Source organism: Homo sapiens, chromosome 11, assembly GCF_000001405.40.
Source record: "Homo sapiens chromosome 11, GRCh38.p14 Primary Assembly".
Classification (NCBI taxonomy): Eukaryota; Metazoa; Chordata; class Mammalia; order Primates; family Hominidae; genus Homo; species Homo sapiens.
The window spans coordinates 7,618,266-7,637,091 of NC_000011.10; the positions used below are offsets into that span (position 1 = coordinate 7,618,266).

Consider the following 18,826-nt stretch of genomic DNA (forward strand, 5'->3'; position numbering starts at 1 on the left):
TGACCTATGTTGAGTAGGTTACTCCAGCAAGACTTTTAAAGGAAGGAAAAACGTGTGTGTACTAATGTTGGTAGTCAATGATGGACAACAAGTAACATAGAAGGAAGAGGATGTTCCAGAGGTCACGGAGCCTGGAGAGGATGATTTCTGTATACCCACAGTGGCAGCCCCTCAGGCAGTAGGAACCTGTACACTTCTGATTCTGATATCAGCTGGCCTGACACCCTCTCCAACAAACTGAGTAACCTGGCTAGGATACAAGGCTGAGCAGAAGAACCCTCAACTTGTGGGCATTGGAGCCTCTCAGGCAGGGCCAATAATGTCCTCAGAGAATGATTCTGGGTCTGCTGCAAGTCAAAGCAGGTATCTGAGGCCTTGACATCCAGTGATGCAGATCATGGATGCAATAACCTTAGCTGAGAAGTTTTCTTTTTCTTTTTTTTTTAGCTGGGATTACAGGCACTTGCCACCACGCCCGGCTAACTTTTGTATTTTTAGTAGAGATAGGGTTTCACCATGTTAGCCAGGCTGGTTTCGAACTCCTCATCTCAAGTGATCCACCCACCTCGGCTTCCCAAAGTGCTGGGATTACAGGCGTGAGCCACCATGCCATCCAGAAGTTTTTTTTTTTTTTTTTTTGTCTTGTTTTTAACGGGCATCAGCATATGCTCACCTCAACTAGAAGGCAATCTTAAAAAATGACCCTACAAAATTCAAGGGTAAGCAATGTCAACTTTGTGGTGGATTATCTCAGAAGGCCAAGACCTCCAGGCCAGTTAAATAATGACTTAAGTTTCATGTGTGCATTCATTGACAAATAGTATACACCTACTATGTGCCAGGCACTGCAGGATAATCAGAGGTTAGCAAATACCTCATGGAGTTTACAGTTTAGTAGGAGAGCTAGCTATTAGCTGTCATACAAATAAATATTTAATTGCAAATTATGTAGGAGGTACACAGAGTACAACAAGAGAATATAGCAGAGGGGCCTGATATAGTAGGGAGGTCAGGATAGCTTTACTCAGGGAGACCTGAAGGATGGGCAGGAGTTAACCTGGCAGAAAATTCCAGACAGAGGGAATGTTGTCTGCGAAGACCTAAGTTGGAGAGAGGAACTGAAAATTATCCATGTGGCTAGAGCATAACTAGGGAGAAAGAGTGATCCAAGAGGCAGGCAGGGAGCTGTCAGGTCACGGGTTGAAGTTTATGAGCTTTGAGAAGCATGGGAGTGCCATGATCTGATGTATGGTTTGATCATATCACTCCCCCAGATGCCATGGGGTCAGTTGCTTTGAGAGGAGCAAGACAACAGAGGAGCAACCAATGAATTGACTGTCCAGGCTGTCAGTGCTAATTGCTAGACCAGAGTGGTGGTGCCTGAGTGGGAAAGAAATGAGACATTCAAGTTGTTTTCCTGGAAGTAGAATTAATAAAGCTTGGGGACGAATTGCATACATAGAGGAGGAAGGACAGGGAGATGCAGAGGATAGATCCTATGTTTCTGGATAGGCCGTTAGATAGATGGATATGGCATTTAGTGAGATGAGAGTAACTAGGAGGGGAGTTGAGCATTCCACTTGGCACCTGACAGTCCGGAGGTGCCTATGCAGCATCCATGTGATGTTAAGTAGGAAGTTTGTTGTGTGAGACTGCAGTTCAGAAAGCCTATGGAAGTAATTATCTTTATGCCAGTTCTTCTGATGGGAGCTAGTCAGCAGGACCAATTGTCTGTTAAGGAAATCTTGGTTCAAGATAACAGTGCTTAGTGGAGTCATCTTTATAGAAGGAGTAGTTTCACAAACAAGGGTCCTAGAGTCAGAATATATGGGCTTGAATTCCAGCTCCACCACTTACTAGCTAAATGAGTAAGAGAAAATTGTTTGTGTCACTTCCCCACTCAGCAACCTTCAGTGACTCCCTACTGCCCAAAGAATGGCATCGGAACTCATCATGTGTATTCTCATCCTCAAGCCTTTACCTTAGGGCCTCACCTTAACTTCCCAGCCTCATCTTCCACTGTGTGCCTACACCCTCAGCTCTAGCCGCATGAGTTATCTCCCTTTCTGTCTCCTATCTTTACTCCTCCCTGGATGCCTTCTCCCTCCCTTCTTTCTTCAAATCAATCTCTTCCTCTGAACTGGAACACCCATTTTGGCATCTATATTTGGCCCTTAACATTTGTTCCCTTAGGGTTCCTCTATGAGGCCTTTCAGGATCACAGGCCCCCTCTTCTATCTTCCTTCACTCCCAGCACAGAGAGATGCTCCCAATTAGCCTGCTTTCTACTACTTTGCATCACAGGGAAGAAGCTGCCTCATTTCAGCATCTCTATTCTTCCCACTCCGAAGCCTCGCCTGCCTGCCTATACTCATGTGTGTGATGTTGGCATACCCCACAGAGGACATAGATGTCAGAGAAAGGGGCAGGCAGAACAGGTTCTAAAACTAAAAGGAAAGTTTTCACTTTCTTATGTCTGGAACTCCCTGGCCTTTGTTTTTTAACGGCCATACAGCTTTCCTGAAACAAGGGACGTGTTTAAAGATTAAAGCTGTTATGTGGAGCTTGATGTGGTTGCTGCACCCCATATGCATGAGCTTAACCAGGTTGGTAAATCAAGAGCACATCTTTTAACCATCAGAACTTTGTCTTTCTCCCTCATCCCCTAGGAGTTACTGCAAGAGCTCAGGCACCTCAAAATCAAAGTGGAAGAGTTGGAAAATGAAAGGAATCAGTATGAATGGAAGCTAAAGGCCACTAAGGTAAACGGCACTCCTGATGCTTATGGAGAGAGTATGAGGGCCTTGTGGGGAGGGTCTGCATTCCAACTTGGGGGTTTCCAGTAGCCTAAGTTTGAAAATGCAAATCAACCCTCCAGTGTGGACACACAGCAGTGCCCAGATGGTGCAGTAGACAGACTTGATCCAGGAAAGATCCTCATGGAGAATGCCCGTGAGATTATGAATTGGTCAATTGTAGTAACCCAGTCTGCTTCCTCTCCCTGCACCCCATAGCACCTGGCTGAAGCTGGGCCAAGAAGGGGCTAGGAGTGGGGAGAGCAGGTGAGTGGCAGGCAGTGAATCATGCGTCCTAAAGCAGATCTTGGATGCATCATTTTAAATTCAGTAGTCCCTTCTAGAATCAGTTTTTCAAAAAAATAGGCATGCTTTATATTTGGCACAAAATATATTCCTAAAAATGGCATAAACTTCGAATTATTTCTTCAATCAAATCATGTTTCTCTTAAACTAGGGAGCCTGCAATTTAAAGGACACCAATAATAAATTCTATTGTGAAATAAATTTCTTCCCTGTCCCCTTTGTTTCTTCCTTCTTTTCCTATACTAAAGTGCAGAGATCAAAACTAGTGGGTTACATTCAGCCCATGAATTTTTTTGGCCTGCACATTGGATTTTAAAACGTTAAATTGTTATTTAAATTTCAGGAAGTTTACATTAGGCTACAGTTAGGTTTCCTTTGGGAGTATGGGGAGGTGGGAGGCTCACACCTGCCTTCCCCTACTGTGTCTGCAGTGCCACCCAAGGGCATTACTGGATGTTTTTATTAGAGTTTTCTTAACTTCTAGTTTGTATTTTTATTTTTTGTGCAAGTTAGTTGCTAATTATTATAAAAACAATAACACACACTATAGAGAATTTTCAAACCATAAAAAATTAAAGGAATAAAAAGCACTCATACCACCCAGGCACTACCATTGCTAATATTTCCTTCCGTGTATTATTCTCTTCTGTTTTAGGTCTGTGTTAGGCCATTCTTGCATTGCTACAGGTAAATAGCTTAGACTAGGTAATTTATAAAGAAGAGGTTTAATTGGCTCAGGGTACTGCAGGTTTTACAGGAAGCATGGTGGTCACATCTGCTCAGCTTCTAGTGAAGCCTCAGGGAGTTTTCAATCATGGCAGAAGGAAAAAGCAGGAGCAAGTGAGAGAAAGGAGAGGAGGTGCCACAAACTTTTAAACCACCAGATCTCGTGAGAACTCACTCACAGTTGCGAGGACAGCACCAAGAGGGTGGTGCCACCATTCATGAGAAATCTATCCCCATGATCCATTCACCTCCTACCAGGGCCCACCTCCAATATCGGGGATTACAATTCAACATGAGATTTGGCAGGAACAAATATTCAAACATCAGGGTCTCTCTATCTCAGTGTCTCTGTCTCTTAATTTTTATTGTTGATAATTTACATGCAATTTTATAACATGCTGTTACTTAAAATTTTATGACTTCTCATGTTATCAAAAGAAAGCACTGAACATATATAAATATTTATGTAATCTAGTGTATAAATATAAAATCATTTGATTAACCATTTTACAGATAATGAAATGGATGTACAGAGAGATTAACTTTCCCAAGATTTTACAGCTATTTGGTACCAAGCCTGGGCAGTCAGACCCATCTGTGTCCTGGCCTGTGTGTATCTGAGTGTAGTTTTGTATGTGTATGCTTCACAGGCACCAGCTCTAGGGGCACTGGTTTTGTCCAGTAGCTCAGAACCTTCCATCACAACACCCCACTCAAACAAGCCCTGTCTTGGGGAAACCTTTGAAGTTGTACATACCGCCCTCTGTCATAAAACCAAATAACACTTTTCTTTTTAACACCCCAGCTCTTTGTCTTGGCATGTAGACCTTTGAGATGCTAAGGGTTATTTAATAACTACCAGGTGTGGAGCACTTCCTATGTGCCAGAATGTACCAAGCTATTTGCACACATTTTATCATCCATAAAATCACCCAGTGAGGTATATGTTTTTTTATTCTCACTTGACTGGGAAGGAAACAGAGGCTCAGCGTGGCCAAGCTGAGGTTCACATCTGGGTCTCTGTCATTCCCGTGCCTTCATGCTGTTTCCAACATCATCCTGATTCCCTGCAGAGAAAACCAGCACTGTTTTTGGAAGTTTTTCACTTTTCTGCTTCAGGCCTCTCAGTCTCTGAAGGGGATTCATCTCCCAGTGCAATGGCAGTAGGGCATGGTCCCTGGGTTTAATGAGGCACAGCACTTGCAGGGACCCAGAGCATCCGTCTCTGCCCAACTGCCTGTCTGCATAGCTATCTCAGACCTTGTGCCACACAGCCCTAGCCATGGTGACTGTGGCCATAGGAACAGTGGCAGTAGCATACACAGTCAAGTAGAAGGTCTCTGGACTGTTCTTGGCCTTCCCAACTGCGGAGACAGAGATCGCTCAAAGGATAACAGAGCACCTATAGTTTCTGGCCTATTTCTGTGGAAATTGGCACAAGGCAGGTTGGGCCCAGTCACTTGGTCTGTAGGGTCCATGGTATATACCTACAGGACCTCCCATAGAGGCAGGGCTCAGGAAGGAGAGCCCTCATAGTGCCACGTGCTAGATTCTCTCTTGATCGGTCCACATTGCTGAATTCCCAACTGTGGGGCCAGCAGACAAGCATCAGGTATCCAGATTTCTAACAGAGACGAGTGCCCATCCTGTCCACAAAGAAAGGGAGAAATGGGCATGGAGAGGTGCAAGAAAAGTTAAAGGAATATCTTTCAAGAATCATCTGGCCTTTGTAGAAATGGAGGTTGAGAGTCCCAAAGCTAATATCTTCAGAAGCCATTGTCACCATGAGTCATAAGCCCATGGGCATCTTTGCCCTGAGTGAGCTCTGATAAACTGCTCCATAGCTGCATGTCTCAGAAAGTGGGTTACACAGCAGGACCCAGCTCTTGGCCTCTGTGAGTGGAGCCCAGAGTGGAGGGACAGTGCTTCATTATGAACTTTGGAATAAGGAAACCCTACCCCTTGTCATCTCTTTATATGGTCATCCCTGTCCCATTTGGGGGATGTTAGGGAAGGTTATTCAGAAACCCTTGCGGTGGGCTGAGGGAGCCCAAGCCTGGTAAGAGTGGCCTTCATCTGTCCTGTTAACTCAGAAGCAGACACACGGTGGTGGGTGGAGCCCTGACATTGGAGCAGGCAGGCCAGGGTTTGCATCCTGGCCTGGTCACCAAGTAGCTCTGTGACTGACACAGAATCTTGTACTACTCCCGTTTTCTCCCTGATGACTTACGGAGATATTGTTTCCTCGGGTGGTTGCTTGTGAGGATTTGATGTAAGAAAGCAGTGAGCACGGGGGCTGATCAGGGTGCGTGCTCAGTCCATGCGCTGAAACTGAACACAAGGCCTGTCCAGCAACAGAGTTGCCAACAGGGCCAGTACTCATTTAATTACTTGGGGTTGGTCAGATATTAACTTGGGCCTTTGTGGAATTGAACAGCCCATACTATAACCTTGAGGACCAAAGTGGGACATGATTGGGCCAACACATGGGGAAGGGGTGGCCAGAGGAGAAGCCTTTGCTGTCTTTTATTGACCGGCTCCACGGTCGATGCTCATCCCTTTTCTTACCTGGTTTGATGCTGAGAGAATTGAACCGATTATCCACAAAGAAAAGAATAGGATGAGAGGAGCAAATAGCAGTAGCATTTATTGAGCACTTAGTATATACTAAATATTGGACTAGGTTGTTGATAACCATTATCTTAAACCTAATTGCAGTCCCATGAAGTAGGTGTAGTTTTTCCCATTTTATAGATGAGCTGAGACTCAGAAAGGTTAACTTACTTGCTCAAGGTCACCCAACTAGGAAATGAGAGAATCAAGGTTTGTTTGACTCCAAAATCCAGGTACCTCTTCGGACAGGACCTATACAATTCTGATCTCCTGATGAGTATGGGAAAGCATGAACAACCACACCTAGTGTTGTGTGTGGATTTAACCTGCACTACTTAATGGCGACATGGGAACCATCTAGTGCAGCTGCCTGTTTGTGTGCAAATATGAATGTATGTGTGTACTTATGAGCTGTGTATACAATGTTTTTTTTTGCAAAAGTATGTAAATGAAGCACTCCTGAATGCTTGTACATCTGTATATGAGTGAGCGTGCACACATGCCTGGAGGTTGGGCAGAGGCAGTGACTGTACCCAAAGGGTAGGAGCGTGTGGAGGGAGGGAGCCCTTGGCTTACCTTTTCTTCAGCAGTGGTGATTTGGCTTCCGCTGCATTTTCTCTGTGGGTTGGAAAGATGAAAACTGCATGCACTTGTTATAGTGGTGTCTCTAAATGTTACTGTATGAGTGAGTATCTTGGGAGAAGAAAGACCATGTCCAGAATATCCTCCTCTGCACCAAGGACAGCCCTCCCATTGCACACAATCCCAGCTCCTCATCACAATCCTAATCCTCACAGTGCAGGGGAGAGAAACTGGTCAGGTAGGAAGATGCAGGGGAAGAAGCACATTGATGGCCAGAGCCGTGGGGAGGGCCAGGATGGCCTAGAAGAGTGAGTTCACTCAGCAGAGTTCCACCTGTGGAGAGGGCAGTGAGCCCCTGCTCCTGCTCACCTCTTCTCCTAACTCCTGATGCACCCTGGTGCCTGATGGGGTCTGGACTCTGACGGGAGGCACTTCATCATGATTTGGCAGTCCTTCTGACCTGGTAGGGATCCTCTGTTGCTCTTCCAGGCTGAAGTCGCCCAGCTGCAAGAACAGGTGGCCCTGAAAGATGCAGAAATTGAGCGTCTGCACAGCCAGCTCTCCCGGACAGCAGCTCTCCACAGTGAGAGTCACACAGAGAGAGGTGACTAGCTTGACTCTGACAAAATGCAGTTGTCTGGGTCCCTGGGTCTACTCTTATAAGTGAGCATGTGTTTCTATAAATGAGTGTGCATATGTGCTTGTGTGTGTAGCCATGCTAATGGACATGCATGTATGTGTGCAAGCGTGGCCAAGTGAATGGATGCACCAGTTTGTGTGTTTGTGTGTGTCCCTATAATGCAGCGCTCTTGTGGAATCATTCCCATGGAACCCTCCCCTAACTAGAAGGTTTTTCTCAGATGCACAGAAGTTCTGTGCAGCCACCTCTGGAGCTTTTACTGAAAATGTAGGAAATACCTAACTCTTTCATTTGACTGAAAGGCCTTACTTTTGTGTCATCACCAAAGGGGAGGCTTTAGAAATTTACTCAGTCATTTCATGGATACCTGCCTGATGCCTGTATAAGGCCCTGAGACTACAGAAACAAGTCAGTTCTTTTTCATTCTTGAGATTTCAAATCTTACTTCTCAGAAAGACCTTTCTTGGCCACCCTAACTCAAATAGGTGCTCCCAGTCCTATTATTCTCTAATTCATCATCCTTCCTTTTTCCTGCCTAGCACTTATTATAACTTACCAGTGTTGTGTGTTATCCCCACTCAGGGGTAAGGACTATATTTTTCTTGTTTAAGAGCATATCTACAAAGCCCAGCACAATATTTGGCCCATTGTAGGATCCTAAGAAATACTTCTTGAATAAGTGAAAGGATGGTGAATGGTCCCTGAGGAGTTCAAGTCTTGCTGATCAAAAATAGAGGATAAATCCTCAACTACTGTAATGAACACATAAATCTTTATGGCTGTTTGCCATGTATACAAAGTGATCATACACCTTTCAACTTGTCCACTGACTACCAGGCTGCAGAGCAATGCCGAAGATCATATAGTCCTACGGATTGGTGCCACTACCTAGTCACATCCTGGCCTCAGCACTGCAAGCTTAGCTTGGATCCCCAGCTGGGGTGTGGAAGCCATGCAACAATGGCTTAGGCTGGAGAAGGAAATTAGTGATCAATGTGCTCGTCCCTCTCCGAGCTTTTCTCAGTGTCCGCCCAAGCCACTGGGTGTGTTGCCTACCTGCCAAGGCCTGCTTGTAGAGGCTGGGTTCTACTAAGACACCCTGGACTATCTCTGATGCTAAGCCTGGACAGAGAGTGCCCCATGCCACAACTTCTAGGCCAGGCAGCCTTCCCAGTCTACCCCTCCTCTTCCCACAGTCTAAGCCTCCCAGGCCCTACCCCACTCCATTACTGGGTACTTTCTAGAGCTGGTCCTTGGGTCATTTGCTGCCGAAGGTAGGTTCTGACCAGTGGATCAGGGTTGGCAGTCTTCATCTAGAGCTTACTGCCCTCCCCAGCAAAGTGAGCTGCAGAGCTGATGTTAGCTACCTAGAGCCTAAATAATGAGCAAGCAATTCTCCACTTTATTCTGAAAATGAATCTCCACAACTATTTACACAAAGTCCATAGATCTACTGTTGCTATTCTTGTTAGATACAACAAGCATCCCAAAAGAAAATGGGAGGCCTATATATTTGTTCCCTTGTACTTTTTTTTTTTTATATAGACATCCCTATTCCCATTTAGGAAGAGGCATAGATCCTTCTTTGAACAATCTAGCTATGTGCCAATTCCTAGAGTATCTGGCAAATGACCTCCAGCTTCCTTAGGCTCTTCAAAACAGTTAAGGAATCAACAGAGTCCCTCTTGGGTCCAAACTGAGAGAAGGCCTTGGATTTTCCACCACAGACCAACAGAGATTTCTCAGCCCATAGGGAAATTCTGGTTTATGATGAAATAAGATTGTTTATCCTCAACCCAGCATTTGCATATATGTATATATCCCAATACATCTAAACATTTGTTAGTCAATTTTGACTATATCATTTTAAATTAAGCCAAGTACCAACTCTTTTACATAATTTTTATTTCCCAGTCTTCACTCAACTGTAGATTTTTTTAAATGTTAAATTCTCCTCTTCCTACAATTTGTCAGACTGTATGATTTTCTTCAAAGCCAGTCAGAAGCCCAGGTGCATGCCTACTCAAGTTGTAAAGGATAAAAATGTCTATATTCTTAGGAGATGTTGGTTTTGAAAGATTTTTGGCTTCCTCTGTCCTCTCGAGTACATGGGCATTTTGATTTTGCCCATAAATGTCTATAAAGAGAAGACAGAGTACTAGCTTCCTTCATTTAGTAGTCTAGCAAATATTTAAGGAGGCCGATTCTGTAGCAGACACCATCCCGGCCTCTTTAAAGAACTAAAGGAGCCATGTTCACATGGCAAGTCTTCATTTGAACTTGGGGGACATCATAGCAAGTGCGGATAGCTGTCTGTATTTATATAAATAATTATTTCTATACCTGAATTCTTTTAGACCAAGAAATTCAACGTCTGAAAATGGGGATGGAAACTTTGCTGCTTGCCAATGAAGATAAGGTAAGATGGTCATTGGGTAGCCCTGTCTTTTCCATGCTTACATCCCTGGCTGTGTTTGGTCCCTGCTGGTCTCTGATATTCTGGACAGGACCATGCTTATCATGCCATTGACATAGGGATATGTCAGGAGAATGACTTGTGCCTTCTAGAGACTTGGCCTCAGCCACCTGTTTTTGGCTTTGATAACTGGAAAGTTTGTCTAAATGGAATCTCCTAAAGGCAGATTATAGCCCTGCCTGTTCCTGCTGGTGTGGGGGGAAAAAAATACTGCTGTGATCACTGCCAATATCATAGCTCCTGCTGGAACTCCTAGCACAACAGCCCACCAGTCTCCCATGTGCATGACCTGACAATAGAACCATCATAGAGACACTTGGCAGTATGCAGTGCCTCAGTTTACCCTGCCATCTTATATCCTTCGCATCTAATTTCGGCACAGTCATAAATAGCCACCTCTATAAATAAAGAGTGCCTGGCTGGTATAAACATCATCTCTGAGGATCACAACCCTGCATTTTACAGATGAGGAAACAGACTCAGAGTGCTTAAGTAATTTGGCCCAAGGTCAGGTAACTAGTAAATAGCACAGCCAGCTTTCACACCCAAGTTTGTCTATGACCTGTGTGGTCTCCCAAGTTCCTTTCAAGGCCTTTGCCTTGAAAGAAACGATCTTCTCTGGGAATTTCCTCTGTAGTATGAGGTATCTCAGACTCCTAGGGAACAAATGAGTATATTGAGATAAATATGACAGCTTTATTTTAGTCTTTTTTTGTGTCGCTCCAGAGGGCAACACTAGGACCAGAAGGCAGATTTCAATGGCCACTTCAGGAAGGTAGGGAGACAGTGAGTTTCGTGCTTCTGAAAATGTTTAAGCCCTGTGAAGGGTGTCTCAGATGACTCACAGTCTTCAGGTAGAGCGTGAATGCCTGCAGATGCCTATGAGGCAGACCACTGAAATCCCAGCTCTGTGGAATGGGGCCTGGACACTCTTTTCCTTTGGTTCCACGTGGGATTTCTTCTCCTTGTGCCAAGAACATAGCGTGGGTTCCAAAATGAAATCATCTGAGATGCCAGCATAGCATTAATCTAAATCTCTACTTGCACTATGGCAGGACCGTCGGATAGAGGAGCTTACGGGGCTGTTAAACCAGTACCGGAAGGTAAAGGAGATTGTGATGGTCACTCAAGGTAAGAGCAAGGGCGATCCTACCGTTGTCTCTGAAAGATATTCCATCAGCTGTGTTAAAGCCAGGGGCAGTTCTGCTAGCAGCTGTTTCACCTCTGTTTCAGAGAAGACTCCCTACTGGAGAACAGAGCTGTTTAGACTTTTCTGCATGATGAGAACTTAGCAGTTGTTGATTTCCAGAAATACTACCAAATGGAAGTCAGCTTAGGGCCTTCAGGGACTATCCAGATCACCAAGAATATAAAGCTTGTGAATTCCCCACCCTTGGAAGGTCTCTTATGCATCTTCCCAGGACACGCCTTAGAGGCAGCAAGTGCAGTTAAACCTGGATCAAAAATCAACTCAGTGCCATCATTGGGGATTAGAGCTCATCCACCTCCTAGAAAATCTAAAGTTCCGCAGCAGACTCAGAGGGCCCTCTGGGAGCCTTCCTCGAGTTGCTGGGCCTGAGTTGCTATAGGAAGTCACAGGACAGAGAGAGCTGCTGTGTTTTATATTTGCTGCCCAGACTGAATGCAACATGCAAGCAGCATCAGGGTTCTTATGGGCATAGTGGTGCATGTGCCGGGCTGCCTTCATTGTTCATGCCATTGACCTGGGCTCCCATCATAGATCCTGAGGAAGCAGCTGTTTCACAGCACAGGGCTGCTTTGAAGGATATTCAGGAACCTCTGATTCTGGCTGAGCTTCTGCTGCTTCTTGGGAAGAAGCCAAGCCTCTGCCAGGATGTGACTGACTGGTCACTGGCCAGGGCCTCTGCCAGCCCTCACACACAGCCCTCTTTTTTTTCTCTTTTTGAGATGGAGTGTTACTCTGTCACCCAGGTTGGAGTGCAGTGGCACAATCTCAGCTCACCGTAACCTCTGCCTCCCAAGTTTAAGCAATTCTTGTGCCTCAGCCTCCTGAGTAGCCGGGATTACAGGCACTGGCCACTATACCTGGCTAATTTTTGTATTTTTAGTGGAGATGGGGTTTCAACATGTTGACCAGGCTAGACTCGAACTCCTGACCTTAAGTGATCCGCCTGCCTCAGCCTCCCAAAGTGCTGAGATTACAGGCGTGAGCCAAAGCACCTGGCCTCACAGCCATCTTTTTAAGATCATGGGTCAAGTCACTCTCAGGGCCTTGATTGCCTATAGCTAAGGAGTGAGAGGTTTGGAGGCAGGGGTACATTACCTCTGTTCTGCAGATAAACTTTGACCTTGAAATGATCCTGATGCCAGCCCTTGCTCAGATGCCCTGAAGAATCTTCAGAATCACACTCTTACTGTCCCTTTATATATTTCTTAGTCCTTCTTAATGAAGGAGAAACAATGTTAGAATTTTGTGGTACGATTATAGGTTTCTGAACATGAATTCAACAATTCAGTCTTACTACCTTAATGCTTGCAGGGCCTTCGGAGAGAACTCTCTCAATCAATGAAGAAGAACCGGAGGGAGGTTTCAGCAAGTGGAACGCTACAAATAAGGACCCTGAAGAATTATTTAAACAAGAGGTACTGTGTTTCCATCCATGACGTAGGGTTTCAGCAGGTCCTCCGAGCTTGCCCTGAGCTTGAGGGAGGATCTAGTCAGACACGTGTCAGGTGCACATCTTGGCAGGTGAATACTTAAATTAATATAGTGCCCCTCAGGCTGTGATGGGGATGGGCGAGCAAGAGGCTGAGGCTCTGGCCTGTGCTCTGGTTGGAGGCAGCATGGTGGATACTGGAACTTTCAAGGATAGGAGTTCTCCTTTTTAATCAGGCTCCTAGTTTATTTTTATCTTTTTTTTCTCTGGAATGTAAGCATAGACCAAAGGTGATGTTTGATTTATCTACCACCCTTTCTCCAAGGTCTGCAGTAATGCCCGATACCCAGTAGAATTCAACAAATATTTGTTGAATGAACGAACATGTCTTGCTCATTTAGAGGAATTAACTGCAACCTCTGAAATGCCGCATTCCTGCTTGACAGATACGCCCTTCAGCCCCTATAGCCAGGACACAGATTTTCCTTCTCATCTATTTCGTTTGTTTAAAATCTGGTCCTATTGTATGAATCTCTCTAGACTTAAGCTAGATACAAATAAACAAATAAACAAGACCTCAGGTGAAGGAGGGGCTTCAGCCTAGGGTCCAAAAGATTCCTGAAAACGTCACACTATCAAATTGAAAAGAATCTTAGTGCTTCAGTTCAACCTTTTTAATTAAGGAGCAAAAGCATCATCCAGTGAGCCAGTTATTGACTCAGAACAAGCACCCCAGATTGCTGGCAATTACAGAATAGCGGTGTCCAAGTCTTACCAAGTCTTACTGGATACCTCCACGTGGTCACTGTGATGAACATTGTATCTGGCAGAATATGGACTTGAACCCAGGTCTGACCACAATGCCCAGGTATTTAAAACTATACTATAATGCCAGCGTTGTTGTTATAGTAGACCAAGAGGATGCTAGGATCTAGAGAAAAGAGGCAGTACTGGAGACATGGGACTGTCTTCTTTCATAACCTCCATTAGCTCAAGGTGGCTCCGCCTGTGATGCTAGGTGCACTGCTGAAGGCACAGTGTTGTGGTAGGTACAATACTGAAGACACGGGACTGTATTATTTCATACCATCATTAGCTCATGGTCTTTCCCCCTGTAATGTTCTTTCCTTTCTTGCCTTAACCAGTTCTCATTTCTCAAAATTCAGCTCAGCTTTTCTCCTCTCTAAAGCTTTCTCAGCCTTCCCTCTGGTGAGAGGGAGCCCCTCTCTCCCACTGTTCCCATATTGTGTTACAGGTGTTGGAGCCATAAGAGCATTGCACATTATTCTGTTATCCTAGTGTACTTGTCTGTCTCCCAGATGTGGGGAGTGCTTGCTCCAGACCTGGCACAGGGCCTGGCAGGGAGTAGATGTTGCTGATGTTTGTCGGGTGACCATATCAAATGGGATTTTCTCATTGAAAGCAACAAAATTTGGCTCTGGCTAACCTAAGCCAAAAAGAATGTTTTTAAAAGAGTCTGCAGTGGCTCGCTGAATGAAAGGAAAAGCTGAAGAACCAAGATCAGAAAGGGAAGGAGCAGAAAAAGCCCAAGAACCCAGGTCTCAGGACTGTACTACTGGGATATGAACATGATCTAAGCTCTAGGGTCCAGGAAGGAGAGGCAAGCTGGCCCAGATGGACTGATAAGCCTACCACACCCCCTTGCATCTTGAAAGAGCAAGGCATCTATAATGATGTATCCACCATGGCTGCACCCAGGGAGGAAATGTCTCCCTAAAAGGAATCATGTGAAGCAGGGGGAAAGATGGTGGGTGGTCCCCAAACAGACTGTCCTCTACCGTGACTCTTCTGTCTCTGGTGCAGATGCCTCCAAGATGTAGCTCTCCTACAGTGGGGCCACCTCCATTGCCACAGAAATCACTGGAAACCAGGTAAGAGGCCTGGGCATTTCCCCACAGCCACTGTGCTCTCAGGCTTGCCTTGGGGCTGCCGAAGTAGATGGTGATGACCGTGAATGGTGAGCATGGCCACTGAGTCCTAGGTGCACCTGCCCCTCTGTTGTTAGGGCAGTTACAAACCAGGCCTACCTCTTTTGGCCACAGAAGGGCTTCTCATCCTTCAGGCTGAGGGTGTGGATCATTGTCACTGAGAAAGGATCTGGCCAAGGATTAGAGCCTCAGAGGAGAGGTGGCTGCAACTCATCTGTGTCTTATAGCAGCTCCTCAGAGCTGAGAGCATCCCGTGATGTGTGTTCCTTTTGTCAGCCTCTGCCTCCTGCTCTTAGAGTGAATTTAGCCCTTTGACAGTCGAAGCTTTCTAGGGAAGGCCATGTCTTCTCATAGCAATTGGTCTAATTGCTTTAAGGATGCTTCACAACAATGAACTAATAATGGGCTCGCCTCTGAGGTCATTTGACTGCCATCTGTCTTGTTCCCTCTAAAATAAACCTAAATCTAGTTCCCTATGTCCGTACTTCAGCACACATTTTGAAATTGAGCCCCATGTAAGGGAGACATGGAGGCTTCACTACCAAGGTACTGGCAACCACTACCAGGCTGCCTTTCAGCTAAGGTGTTGGGGCAGATGACCACAAGCATCACAGAAACTCCCCAGAATGGTGCTGAGTCTCCAGAGCCTGCACTCTGAGTCCACTTTCCAGAAAGCAGTTGTTCCCTTGAGCCTTTAGCCCAGAGGAAAATGGTAATGTTAGAGAAGTTGATCAGGCAGTCCTTAGTTTTGGAGAATAAGAATTGTGGTTTATGAGTTCACTGAGGGAAAGGTCAACACCAAGGAACTCGGACTGACCAGATTTACAAGAGACTAATATTTTTTAAAATGATGACTTACTCGTATAATCTGAGAAATATGACTGCCAAGGAGACTTGGCACAGGTTACCCTTGTGACCACTGGTGGCATTGCCTCTTGACACATTTGGTGCCTTTCTCTGCAAAATAGACCCTGAGAGAGCCAGATGAGTCTGAGCAGACTAGATGGGCATGCAGATCCAGAGCAGAGTGTGGCAGGGTCCTAGCAAGTGATGTTCTGGAGCCATGGCTGGTTAATGTGTTCATCTCTACTCTAAGGAGGCCCAGGTCCCTCCTCCCTGGATTACTCTTAGACTCAGACAAGCCCAGCATCAGCACCTTTCCCCTCTTTTGACACTGTAGACCTTGGCCTTTTATGACCGCACAATTGTCACCTCAGTGCAGCAGAATTGAGTGTATTCTGGCTTTTTGTGCAATGCCAAGAACATTTCATTTGGATTTAAGTGACCCTGTCATGCCCTTACTAACACATTATTGGACCAGTCTGTCCCCCAAGGTGGGCCAGTCTCATTTTGTATGTAAAGGCTATTATGAGAGGGTATTTTTTTTTCTTGACTTTGAACCTAAGCCCAAGACCATCGGTTAAGCATTTGAAATGTCCTCTGCATGAGTGATAACATGTACCTCCTTCTCATAACTATTTCTTTCTTTTGTGTTTTTTTCAGGGCTCAGAAAAAGCTCTCTTGTAGTCTAGAAGACTTGAGAAGTGAATCTGTGGATAAGGTCGGCTCATCAACCTATCCTTAAAGATGACTGAGTTACTTTTTTGGGCCTAGCATAGTACTGGGATATACAGGCAGGTCCTGGTCCCTACCTTGTAGAGGATTTTATAAAGTTGTAGAGGAAGCAGGAATTACATGAACATTTTGAGAAAATTAACTGGGTGTGGCCCAAAGCATCTTAGAGGAAGGACAATTCAGGAAATGTTGCCTGGAGTTGATGAGAGAAGATGTTGAGATCAGCAAAGCTTGGTTAGAGTCTGCTGAGCAATAGCAGGTTTTGGAAGATGGTGGAGAGTAGGAGGAGGTAAGGTCAGAGCCATGAGACAGATCAAGCCAGGGAAGATCTTGACTACTAGTCCTATATCCCTGGGGCACTTGGGGACATCGTATAGATTTTTTTAATGATGAATTAATGTGAATAAAGGAGATGATCCCAAGGAAAGATGTGGGATCGTCAGGATGTTGGAGAGTGAGCTGTTGTAAGAGTCTGGAAAGATGGAGGAGGGTCTTGTGGCTCCTTATATAGGAGTAGCCCTTGATCATGTGGGTGGACCTCATGCTGCAGGGGACAGTAGCAGGCTCTTGAGCTTGGTCATTAGAGACCAAGGGAGCCTGCCCTGATAGAGACCCTTCAGTGAGCCTGTGCTGCATACCATCCCTTGGTCTCCAATAATGTTCATCAGCCTCCTTGTTGATACAGTGGAGAACCATAAAGGCTGAAGTCTGCAGGAGCCCTGGGATCATTCAGTGGCTCTGCTCCCATGGTCACGTGTCTCTCGGTTGCCATGGTCATGTTGCTGGCAGCTGCCCAGGACATCTGTCCATGGAGTTGGACAGGGATCTTTCCTGCCCTGGATGGTGATTACTTGACATGAAGATGTGGAGGGAGGGGATGCGCCTTTCAGATTTAAGCAAACAGGTAGTCCTGAGTTGTTGCTGTTTGTGAATAACACAAGTCTCTTTTTCTCCACATAAACGAAATCCTCATGTTACTCCATAGTGTATGGATGGGAACCAGCCCTTCCCGGTGTTAGAACCCAAGGTACATTGACTTCGTGCCCCGTCGTCTATTTGTGGTTACACTGTTTGCTAGTATTTTAATTTAGCAAGTCATAGTTTTCATAACCTTAAAATGTGCCAACTGTAAGGAGTAAGAGGGCAAGAGGAAAGACGCAACTTTTCTCTCCCATTTTATTTTTATGTGCACTCAGCTATTTAATATGCTTTTGCTATCATTATCTGTGGGACAGGATTTATTATTATCACCTCCATTTTATAGGCTCAGAGAAATTAATCTTTAACAAAGTAATCTAGATTTAATCACTGGGAAGGGGATTGCTACGATCTCAGCACACTGAAGAACGTGACAGCTCTCATCCTTTCTGTGCTGATATGTCATGGTTAAAAAAACACAAGTGTACACTCAGTCCCGCTTTGATGAACAAGTTATGTTATAAAAATTCCATTAGGACTGATCTTCTCCAGGGAAGCCTGTTGTGGAAGAGGATTAAGTTTTTAGGCCAGTGCACAAAATGTTGAGCCCATAAAGAAATGAAGATTCATATAATTAGCATGATTTCAGCCACACCCAACCACCATTTATAACATTATATGGAAAATGTATTGTGAGGCTGATGGCATTTCCCTTCTCTGTCCCCTGCCTCCATGTCCATATGAAACATGGAGCTTCTCATTGCTTGCTGACTTCTGCCTGAGAGGGTCATTTTATATTTTCACGGTAAAATGGGGCATCTCTGCTCCTCCACATCTGCGTAAGAGAAAGATCTTTTCTGCACGTCTGCATCTATATAAGGGGCTTCTCTACTCTTCCATATTTGTAGCAGTTGGTTCTTCAAGTGGGCAGCCATTCCTTGGGCCATCTGAACTGTATAGCAAAAGTCTTCTGCCTGCTCCCCTGCCCAGGTGCTCTGCAACACAGTCCCTTGAGCCTGGGGTTGGTGTGGTCCCTTTGTGAACTGAAAGGCTTCCTATGGCGTCAGCTGTTAAATCGCTCAGCAGTCCCCCCTCCCACCTCAGCGTCACAGAGGTCATTCGCAGGTGTTTCTAAAGCACACCTGTAAGTGACCACCTGCTCCTTTGGAAACACACCCAGCTCACAGGCTCAAGGTTTAAGACGCCAATTTGATTACCAAGAAATATAAGTAACGTAGAACTATTTATAAAGAAAAAAATGCTCCAGATTAAAAGATTAATTCTTACATGGTTTTGGCCATAATCACAATCTTATACAACCTCAGTTATTCAACATGACCACCCTCCCCTCTCACCCACATACACCACCGTCCTCCCCAGAATAGCTACACAGGTGCAGAACCGCTCCACAGTCATCTTTCTGCAGCATCCCTAACTGTAGTGTCTGGCCCTTGCTTAAACTGGCTCTTGCTTTCTGTGACTGAGAGCTCATTTCATTGGAAGACATCCTTTGTATTCTTTTGCAGCTGTGTGAGCTTCTCTAAAATGTGCATCTGCTGATCCTCTCCCTCCACATCTAGCCCATGGAAAAAGTCAATCTCCCCTAC

The 18,826-nt window shown here is 45.2% G+C and overlaps 1 protein-coding gene across 32 annotated transcripts in view, besides 1 other annotated feature; it reads left to right on the forward strand.

Moving 5' to 3' along the window:
* Positions 1 to 18,826, forward strand: part of PPFIBP2 (PPFIB scaffold protein 2) — a 153,306-nt gene that overhangs the window by 104,267 nt on the left and 30,213 nt on the right. For all 32 annotated transcript variants that reach the window (NR_147792.2, XM_011520415.4, XM_047427751.1 and 29 more), the window contains 8 exons: positions 2,670 to 2,762; positions 7,512 to 7,626; positions 10,020 to 10,081; positions 11,194 to 11,269; positions 12,660 to 12,763; positions 14,602 to 14,669; positions 16,230 to 16,287; positions 17,287 to 17,328. Coding sequence is in view for 31 of the 32 variants with exons in the window: in XM_011520415.4 (XP_011518717.1) it covers positions 2,670 to 2,762; positions 7,512 to 7,626; positions 10,020 to 10,081; positions 11,194 to 11,269; positions 12,660 to 12,763; positions 14,602 to 14,669; positions 16,230 to 16,287; positions 17,287 to 17,328 (618 nt within the window). In the remaining variant the exon portion in view is untranslated. The remainder of the gene's footprint in view (positions 1 to 2,669; positions 2,763 to 7,511; positions 7,627 to 10,019; positions 10,082 to 11,193; positions 11,270 to 12,659; positions 12,764 to 14,601; positions 14,670 to 16,229; positions 16,288 to 17,286; positions 17,329 to 18,826) is intronic.
* Positions 12,476 to 13,675: an enhancer, noted in NCBI's record as "BRD4-independent group 4 enhancer chr11:7651972-7653171 (GRCh37/hg19 assembly coordinates)". NCBI's record gives its function as "activates an origin of replication core promoter dependent on BRD2, P300/CBP, MED14 and CDK7 cofactors, and independent of BRD4, by STARR-seq in HCT116 cells {active_cell/tissue: HCT116}" and the evidence as "EXISTENCE:reporter gene assay evidence [ECO:0000049][PMID:35650434]".